Below are 10,948 nucleotides of genomic sequence, written 5' to 3'. Positions count from 1 at the left end.
CTCTATCCAAAGAGTGGTTCAACTCTGTGAGTTGAATGCCCACATCACAAGGAAGTTTCTGAGAATGCTTCTGTCTAGTTTTCAAGTGAAGATATATCCTTTTTCACCATAGGCCTCAAAGAGCACCAAATGTCCACTTGCAGATACTACAAAAAGAGTGTTTCTAAACTGCTTGGTCAAAAGATCGGTTCAACTCTGTGAGTTGAATACACACTTCACAAAGAAGTTTCTGAGAATGCTTCTGTCTAGTTTCGGTTAAGATATCCTGTTTCCAATAGATAGTACAAAAAGAGTGTTTCAAAACAGCATTCTCAAAAGAAAGGTTCAACTCTATGAGTTGAATGTACACATCACAAAGAAGTTTCTGAGAATTCTTCTGTCTAGTTTTTGTGAAGATATCCCATTTCCAAAGAAGGGCTCTAAGCGATCAAAATATCCACTTGCAAATTCTACAAAAAGAATGTTTCAAACCTTCTCCATGAAAAGAAATATTCAACTCTGGGAGTTGAAAGCAAACAACACAAAGAAGTTTCTAAGAATGCTTCTGTGTAGTTTTTATGTGAAAATATTTCCTTTTTCATCACAGGCCTCAAAGTGCTCCAAATGTCCACATGCAGATTCTACAAAAAGAGTGTTTCAAAACTGCTCTATCAAAAGAATTGTTCAACATTGTGAGTTGAATGCACACATCACTAAGAAGTTTCTGAGACTGCTTGTGTCTAGTTTTTGTGAAGATATCTCGTTCCCAACGAGGGCCTCAAAGAGGTCCAAATGTCCACTTGCAAATTCTACATAAGAGTGTTACAAAACTGCTCTATGAAAAGGAATGTTCAACTCTGAGTTGAAAGCAAACAACACAAAGTTGTTTCTGAAAATGCTTCTGTGCAGATTTCGTGTGTAGATATTTCCATTTTCTCCACAGGCCTCAAGGTGCTCCAAATGTCCACATGCAATTTCTACAAAAGGAGTGTTTCAAAACTGCTGTATCAAGAGAAAGATTCAACTCTGTGGGTTGAAAGCAAACATCACAAAGAGATTTCTGAGAAATCTTCTGTGTAGTTTTTACAGGAAGATATTTCCTTTTTCACCATAGGCTTCAAAGCGCTCCAAATGTACACTTGCAGATACTACATAAAAAGTGTTTCTAAACTGCTCTTTCAAAAGAAAGGTTCAACTCTGTGATTTGAATGCAAATATCACAAAGAAGTTTCTGAGAATGCTTCCGTCTAGTTTTTGTGAAGATATAACGTTGCCAAAGAAGGCCTCAAAGAGGTCCAAATATCCACTTGCAAATTCTACAAAAAGAGTGTTTCCAAATTGCTCTATTAAAAGGAATATTTAACTCTGTGTGTTGAAAGAAAACATCATAAAGAAGTTTCTGAGAATTCTTCTGTGTCGTTTTTATGTGAAGATATTTCCTTTTCACCATAGGCCTCAAAGCGTTCCAAAAGTTCATTTGCTGATTCTAAAAAAAAAGTGTTTCAAAACTCCTGTATCAAAAGACAGGTTCACCTCTGTGAGTTCAAAGCAAACATCACAGAGTAGTTTCTGAGAGAGCTTCTGTTTAGTTTTTATGGGAAGATATTTCCTTTTTCTCCACAGGTCTCAAAGCGCTCCAAATGTCCACTTGCAGATTCTACAAAAGGAGTGTTTCAAAACTGCTCTATCAAAAGAAATGTTCAACTCTGTGAGTTGAATGCACACATCACAAAGAAGTTTCTGAGAATGCTTCTGTGTAGTTTTTATGTGAAGATACTTCCTTTTCACCATAGGCCCAATAGAGTTCCAATTGTCCACTTGCAGATCCTACAAAAAGTGCGATTCAAAACTGCTCTATCAAGAGAAATGTTCCACCCTGTGAGTTGAATTTACACATCACAAAGAAGTTTCTGAGAATGCTTCTGTCTAGTTTTTGTGAAGATATTCCGTTTCCAACAAAGGCCTCGAAGCGGTAGAAATATCCACTTTCAAATTCTACAAAAAGAGTGTTTCAAAATTTCTCTATGAAAAGGAATATTCAACTCTGAGAGTTGAAAGCAAACAACACAAAGAAGTTTCTGAGAATGCTTCTGTGTAATTTTTATGTGAAAATATGTCCTTTTTCACCACATGCCTCAAAGCGCTCCAAATGTCCACATGCAGATTCTAGAGAAAGAGTGTTTGAAAACTGCTCTATCAAAAGTAAGGTTCAACTCTGTGAGTTCAATGCACACATCACAAAGAAGTTTCTGAGAATGCTTCTGTGTAGTTTTTATGTGAAGATTCTTCCTTTTTCACCATAGGTCCAAACGAGCTCCAATTTCCATTTACATATTCTACAAAAAGAGTGTTTCAAAACTGCTCTATCAAAAGAAATGTTCAACCCTGTGAGTTGAATGTACACATCACAAAGAAGTTTCTGAGAATGCTTCTGTCTGGTTTTTGTGAAGATATCCCACTTCCAATGAAGGCCTCAAAGCAGTACAAATATCCACTTGCAAATTCTACAAAAAGAGTGTTTCAAAACTTCTCTATGAAAGGGAATACTCAACTCTGAGAGTTGAAAACAAACAACACAAAGAAGTTTCTGAGAATGCTTCTGTGTAATTTTTATGTGAAAATATTCCCTTTTTAACAACAGGCCTCAAAGCGCTCCAAATGTCCACATGCAGATTCTACAAAAAGAGTGTTTCAAAACTGCTCTATCAAAAGAATGGTTCAACTCTGTGAGTTGAATGCACACATCACAAAGAAGTTTCTGAGAATGCTTCCATGAAGTTTTTATGTGAATATATATCCTTTTTCACCATAGGCCCCAAAGCGCCCCAAATGTCCACTTGCAGATTCTACAAAAACATTGTTTCAAAACTGCTCTGTACAAAGAAAGGTTAAACACTGTGAGTTGAATGCGCACATCACAAAGAAGTTTCTGAGAATGCTTCTGTCTATTTTTATGTGAACATATTTACTTTTTCACCACAGGCCTCAAAGCGCTCCAAATATCCACTTGCAAATTCCACAAAAAGACAGTTTCAAAACGGCTCTATGAAAAGAAATGTTCAACTCCATGAGTTGAAAGCAAATATCACAAAGTATTTTCTGAGAATGCTTCTGCATAGTTTTTATGTGAAGATATTTCCTTATTCACCATAGGCCCCAAAGCGCTCCAAATGTCCACATGCAGATTCTACAAAAAGACTGTTTCAAAACTGCTCTATCAAAAGAAAGGTTCAACTCTGCGATTTGAATGAACACATCACAAAGAAGTTTCTGAGAATGCTTCTGTCTACTTTTCATGTGAAGATATTTCCTTTTTCACCACAGTACTCAAAGCGTTACAAGTATCCACTTGCAAATTCTGCAAAAAGAGAGTTTCAAAACGGCTCTATGAAAAGGAATGTTCAACTCTGTGAGTTGAAAGCAAACATCACAAAGTAGTTTCTGAGAATGCTTCTGTGTAGTTTTTATGCGAAGATATTTCCTTATTCAACATAGGCCTCAAAGCGCTCCAAATGTCCACAAGCAGATCCTAAAAAAAGAATGTTTCACAACTGCTCTATCAAAAGAAACGTTCAACTCTGTGAGTTGAATGCACACATCACAAAGAAGTTTCTGAGAATGCTTCTGTCTAGTTTGTATGTGAAGATATTTCCTTTTTACCATAGGCCTCAAATCGCTCCAAATGCCCACTTTCAGATTCTACAAAAGGAGTGTTTCAAAACTAATCCATCAAAAGAAAGGTTCAACTCTGTGAGTTGAATGCACACATCACAAAGTAGTTTCTGAGAATGCCTCTGTGTAGTTTTTCTGTGAAGATACGTTCTTTTTCACCAAAGGCCCAGAAGAGCTCCAATTGTCCACTTGCAGATACTACAAAAAGTGTGTTTCAAAACTGCTCTATCAAAAGAAAGGTTCAACCCTGTGAGTTGAATGTACACATCAAAAAGAAGATTCTGAGAATGCTTCTGTCTAGTTTTTGTGAAGATATCCCGTTTCCAACGAAGGCCTCAAAGCGGTACAAATATCCACTTGCAAATTCTACAAAAACAGTGTTTCAAAACTTCTCTCTGAAAAGGAATATTCAACTCTGAGAGTTGAAAGCAAACAACCCAAAGAAGTTTCTGAGAATGCTTCAGTGTAATTTTTATGTGAAAATATTTCCTTTTCCACCACAGTCCTCAAAGCGCTCCAAATATCCACATGCAGATTCTACAAAAAGAGTGTTTCAAAACTGCTCTATCAAAAGAACGGTTCAACTCTGTGAGTTGAATGCACACATCACAAAGAAGTTTTTGAGAATGGTTCCATGAAGTTTTTATGTGAACATATATCCTTTTTCACCATAGGCCTCAAAGCGCTCCAGTTGTCCACTTGCAGATTCTAGAAAACGATTGTTTCAAAACTGCTCTATCCAAAGAAGGGTTAAATTCTGGGAGTTGAATGCACACATCACAAAGAAGTTTCTGAGAATGCTACTGTCTATTTTTGTGAAGATATTTCCTGTTTCACCAGATGCCTCAAAGCGCTCCAAATGTCCACTTGCTGATTCTACAAAAAGTGTGTTTCAAAATTTCTCTATCAAAAGAACCGTTCAAATCTGTGAGTTGAATGCACACATCGTAAAGTAGTGTCTGAGACTGCTTGTATCTAGTTTTTGTGAAGATATCCCATTTCCAAGGAGAGCCTCAAAGCTGTCCAAATATCAAGTTGCAAATTCCACATAAGAGTGTTTGAAAACTGCTCTATGAAAAGGAATGTTCAATTCTGTCAGTTGAAAACAAACATCCAAAGAAGTTTCTGAGAATTCTTCTGTGTAGTTTTATCTGAAGATATTTCCTTTTCAAAAGACAAGCCTCAAAGCGTTCCAAATGGCCACTTCCAGATTCTACAAAAAGAGTGTTTCAAAAATGCTGTATCAAAAGAATGGTTCACCACTGTGCATTGAATGCAAATATCACAAAGAAGTTTCTGAGAATGGTTTTGTCTACTTTTTGAAGATATCCCGTTTCAACGAAGGTCTCAAAGCAGTCCAAATATCCACTTGCAAATTCTACAAAAAGATTGTTTCAAAACTGCTCCATGAAAAGGAACGTTCAACTCTGTGAGTTGAAAGCAAACAACACAAAGAAGATTCTGAGAATGCTTCTGTGTAGTTTTCGTGTGAGGATATTTCCTTTTTCTCCACTGGCCTCAAAGTGCTCCAAATGTCCACGTGCAGATTCTACAAAAAGAGTGTTTCAAAACTGCTCTATCAAAACAAATGTTCAACTGTGTGAGTTGAAAGCAAACATCACAGAGAAGTTTCTGAGAAAGCTTCTGTGTAGTTTTTATGGGAAGATATTTCCTTTTTCAACATGGGTCTCAAAACACTCCAAATGTCCACTTGCAGATTCTACATAAAGAGTGTTTCTAGATAGCTCTTATTATTTTGAAATACGTCCCATCAATACCTAATTTATTGAGAGTTTTTAGCATTAAGGGTTGTTGAATTTTGTCAAAGGCCTTTTCTGCATCAATTGAGATAATCATGTGGCTTTTGTCTTTGGTTCTGTTTATATGCTGGATTACATTTATTGATTTGTGTATATTGAACCAGCCTTGCATCCCAGGAATGAAGCCCACTTGATCATGGTGGATAAGCTTTTTGATGTGCTGCTGGATTCGTTTTGCCAGTATTTTATTGAGGATTTTTGCATCAATGTTCATCAAGGATATTGGTCTAAAATTCTCTTTTTTGGTTGTGTCTCTGCCCGGCTTTGGTATCAGAATGATGCTGGCCTCATAAAATGAGTTAGGGAGGATTCCCTCTTTTTCTATTGATTGGAATAGTTTCAGAAGGAATGGTACCAGTTCCTCCTTGTACCTCTGGTAGAATTCAGCTGTGAATCCATCTGGTTCTGGACTCTTTTTGGTTGGTAAATTATTGATTATTGCCACAATTTCAGCTCCTGTTATTGGTCTATTCAGAGATTCAACTTCTGCCTGGTTTAGTCTTGGGAGAGTGTATGTGTCGAGGAATTTATCCATTTCTTCTAGATTTTCTAGTTCATTTGCGTAGAGGTGTTTGTAGTATTCTCTGATGGTAGTTTGTATTTCTGTGGGATTGGTGGTGATATCCCCTTTATCATTTTTTATTGTGTCTATTTGATTCTTCTCTCTTTTTTTCTTTATTAGTCTTGCTAGCGGTCTATCAATTTTGTTGATCCTTTCAAAAAACCAGTTCCTGGATTCATTGATTTTTTGAAGGGTTTTTTGTGTCTCTATTTCCTTCAGTTCTGCTCTGATTTTAGTTATTTCTTGCCTTCTGCTAGCTTTTGAATGTGTTTGCTCTTGCTTTTCTAGTTCTTTTAATTGTGATGTTAGGGTGTCAATTTTGGATCTTTCCTGCTTTCTCTTGTGGGCATTTAGTGCTATAAATTTCCGTCTACACACTGTTTTGAATGCGTCCCAGAGATTCTGGTATGTTGTGTCTTTGTTCTCGTTGGTTTCAAAGAACATCTTTATTTCTGCCTTCATTTCGTTATGTACCCAGTAGTCATTCAGGAGCAGGTTGTTCAGTTTCCATGTAGTTGAGCGGCTTTGAGTGGGATTCTTAATCCTGAGTTCTAGTTTGATTGCACTGTGGTCTGAGAGATAGTTTGTTATAATTTCTGTTCTTTTACATTTGCTGAGGAGAGCTTTACTTCCCAGTATGTGGTCAATTTTGGAATAGGTGTGGTGTGGTGCTGAAAAAAATGTATATTCTGTTGATTTGGGTTGGAGAGTTCTGTAGATGTCTATTAGGTCTGCTTCGTGCAGAGCTGAGTTCACTTCCTGGGTATCCTTGTTGACTTTCTGTCTCATTGATCTGTCTAATGTTGACAGTGGGGTGTTAAAGTCTCCCATTATTAATGTGTGGGAGTCTAAGTCTCTTTGTAGGTCACTCAGGACTTGCTTTATGAATCTGGGTGCTCCTGTATTGGGTACATATATATTTAGGATAGTTACCCACAGCCAATATCATACTGAATGGGCAAAAACTGGAAGCATTCCCTTTGAAAACTGGCACAAGACAAGGAAGCCCTCTCTCACCACTCCTATTCAACACAGTGTTGGAAGTTCTGGCCAGGGCAATCAGGCAGGAGAAGGAAATAAAGGGTATTCAATTGGGAAAAGAGGAAGTCAAATTGTCCCTGTTTGCAGACGACATGACTGTTTATCTAAAAAACCCCATCGTCTCAGCCCAAAATCTCCTTCAGCTGATAAGCAACTTCAGCAAAGTCTCAGGATACAAAATCAATGTAGAAAAATCACAAGCATTCTTATACACCAACAACAGACAAACAGAGAGCCAAATCATGAGTGAACTCCCATTCACAATTGCTTCAAAGAGAATAAAATATCCAGGAATCCAACTTACAAGGGATGTGAAGGACCTCTTCAAGGAGAACTACAAACAACTGCTCAAGGAAATAAAAGAGGATACAAACAAATGGAAGAACATTCCATGCTCATGGGTAGGAAGAATCAATATCGTGAAAATGGCCATACTGCCCAAGGTAATTTACAGATTCAATGCCATATCCATCAAGCTACCAATGACTTTCTTCACAGAATTGGAAAAAACTACTTTAAAGTTCATTTGGAACCAAAAAAGAGCCCGCATCACCAAGTCAATCCTAAGCTAAAAGAACAAAGCTGGAGGCATCATGCTACCTGACTTCAAACTATACTACAAGGCTACAGTAACCAAAACAGCATGGTACTGGTACCAAAACAGAGATATAGATCAATGGAACAGAACAGAGCCCTCAGAAATAACGCCGCATACCTACAACTATCTGATCTTTGACAAACCTGAGAAAACAAGCAACGGGGAAAGGATTCCCTATTTAATAAATGGTGCTGGGAAAACTGGCTAGCCATATGTAGAAAGCTGAAACTGGATCCCTTCCTTACACCTTATACAAAAATCAATTCAAGATGGGTTAAAGATTTAAACGTTAGACCTAAAACCATAAAAACCCTAGAAGAAAACCTAGGCATTACCATTCAGGACATAGGCATGGGCAAGGACTTCACCTCTCAAACACCAAAAGCAATGGCAACAAAAGACAAAATTGACAAATGGGATCTAATTTAACTAAAGAGCTTCTGCACAGCAAGAGAAACTACCATCAGAGTGAACAGGCAACCTACAACGTGGGAGAAAATTTTCGCAACCTACTCATCTGACAAAGGGTTAATATCCAGAATCTACAATGAACTCAAACAAATTTACAAGAAAAAAACAAACAACCCCATCAAAAAGTGGGCGAAGGACATGAACAGACACTTCTCAAAAGAAGACATTTATGCACCCAAAAAACACATGAAAAAATGCTCATCATCACTGGCCATCAGAGAAATGCAAATCAAAACCACAATGAGATATCATCTCACACCAGCTAGAATGGCAATCATTAAAAAGTCAGGAAACAACAGGTGCTGGAGAGGATGTGGAGAAATAGGAACACTTTTACACTGTTGGTGGGACTGTAAACTAGTTCAACCATTGTGGAAGTCAGTGTGGCGATTCCTCAGGTATCTAGAACTAGAAATACCATTTGACCCAGCCTTCCCTTTACTGGGTATATACCCAAATGACTATAAATCATGCTACTATAAAGACACATGCACATGTATGTTTATTGTGGCATTATTCACAATAGCAAAGACTTGGAACCAACCCAAATGTCCAACAATGATAGACTGGATTAAGAAAATGTGGCACATATACACCATAGAATACTATGCAGCCATAAAAAATGATGAGTTCATGTCCTTTGTAGGGACATGGATGAAATTGGAAACCATCATTCTCAGTAAACTATCGCAAGAACAAAAAACCAAACACCGCATATTCTCACTCATAGGTGGGAATTGAACAATGAGATCACATGGACACAGGAAGGGGAATATCACACTCTGGGGACTGTTGTGGGGTTGGGTGAGGGGGGAGGGATAGCATTGGGAGATATACCTAATGCTAGATGACGAGTTAGTGGGTGCAGCGCACCAGCATGGCACATGTATACATAAGTAACTAACCTGCACAATGTGCACATGTACCCTAAAACTTAAAGTATAATAAAAAAAAAAAGTGTTTCTAAACGGCTCTATCAAAAGAAAGTTTCAACTCTGAATGCACACATCACAAAGTAGTTTCAGAGATTGCTTCTGTCTAGTTTTTGTGAAGATATCCCGTTTCCAACGAAGGCCTCAAAGCGTTCCAAATATCCACTTGCAAGTTCTACATAAGAGTGTTTCAAAACTGCTCTATGAAAAAGAATGTTCAATGCTGTGATTTGAAAAAAAATCCAAAGAAGATTCTGAGAATTATTCTGTGTAGTTTCATCTGAAGATATTTCCTTTTCCATCACAGGCCTCAAAGCGTTCCCAATGGCCACTTGCAGATTCTACAAAAAGAGTGTTTCAAAATTGCTCTATCAAAATAACGGTTCAAATCTGTGAGTTGAATGCACACATCACAAAGTAGTTTCTGAGACTGCTTGTGTCTAGTTTTGGTGAAGATCTCCCGTTTCCAACGAGGGCCTCAAAGCGCTCCAAATGTCCACTTGCAAATTCTACATAAGGGTGTTTCAAAACTGCTCTATGAAAAGGAATGTTCAATTCTGTGAGTTGAAAACAAACATCCAAAGAAGTTTCTGAGAATTCTTCTGTGTACTTTTATCTGAAGATATTCCCTTTTCCAGCAAAGTCCTGAAAGCGTTCCAAATGGCCACTTGCATATTTTTCAAAAAGAGTTTTTCAAAACTGCTCCATCAAAAGTACGGTTCACTTCTGTGCGTTGAATGCACACATCACAAAGAAGTTTCTGAGAATGCTTCTGTCTAGTTTTTTGAAGATATCCCGTTTCCAACGAAGGCCTCAAAGCAGTATAAATATCCACTTGCAAATACTACAAAAAGAGTGTTTCAAAACTGCTCTATGAAAAGGAATATTCAACTCTGTGAGTTGAAAGCAAACAGCACAAAGAAGTTTCTGAGAATGCTTCTGTGTAATTTTTATGTGAAAATATTTCCTTTTTCATCACAGGCCTCAAAGCGCTCCAAATGTCCACATGCAGATTCTAGAAAAAGTGTGTTTCAAAACTTCTCTATCAAAAGAATGGTTCAACTCTGTGAGTTGAATGCAGCCATCACAAAGAAGTTTCTGAGAATTCTTCCGTGAAGTTTTTCTGTGAAGATACATCCTTCTTCACCATAGGCCTCAAAGCACCCCAATTGTCCACTTGCAGATTCTACAAAAAGATTGTTTCAAAACTGATCTATCCAAAGAAAGGTTAAACTCCGTGAGTTGAATGCACACATCACAAAGAAGTTTCTGGGAATGCTTCGGTCTATTTTTGCGTGAAGATATTTCCTTTTTCACCACAGGCCTCAAAGCGCTCCAAATATCCCCTTGGAAATTCTGCAAAAAGAGAGTTTCAAAACAGCTCTATGAAAACGAATGTTCAACTCTGTGAGTTGAAAGCAAACATCACAAAGTAGTTTCTGACAATGCTTCTGTGTAGTTTTTATGTGAAAATATTTCCTTATTCACCATAGGCCTCAAAGCACTCAAAATGTCCACATGCAGATTCTACAAAAAGACTGTTTCAAAACTGATCTATCAAAAGAAAGGTTCAACTCTGTGAGTTGAATGCACGCATCACAAAGAAGTTTCTGAGAATGCTTCAGTGTAGTTTTTATGTGAAGATATTTCCATTTTAACCTTAGGCCTCTTAGTGCTCCAAATGTCCAGTTGCTGGTTCTACAAAAAGAGTGTTAAAAACTGCTCTATCAAAAGAGTAGTTCAATTCTGTGAGTTGAATGCTCACATGACAATGTTGTTTCTGAGACTCCTTTTGTCTAGTTTTTGTGAAGATATCCCGTTTCCAACGAAGGCCTCAAAGCAGTCCAAATATCTACTTGCAAATTCTACATAA

General features: G+C 37.6%; 1 annotated feature.

Moving 5' to 3' along the window:
* Positions 9,748 to 10,249: an enhancer, noted in NCBI's record as "NANOG hESC enhancer chr20:26280570-26281071 (GRCh37/hg19 assembly coordinates)". NCBI's record gives its function as "activates a minimal SCP1, AML or CMV promoter by ChIP-STARR-seq in primed H9 embryonic stem cells {active_cell/tissue: H9 hESC(primed)}" and the evidence as "EXISTENCE:reporter gene assay evidence [ECO:0000049][PMID:30033119]".

This window comes from Homo sapiens, chromosome 20, assembly GCF_000001405.40.
Source record: "Homo sapiens chromosome 20, GRCh38.p14 Primary Assembly".
NCBI lineage: Eukaryota > Metazoa > Chordata > Mammalia > Primates > Hominidae > Homo > Homo sapiens.
Note: the sequence above shows the minus strand (reverse complement) of the source record. Positions and strands in the feature narration are given on the sequence as shown.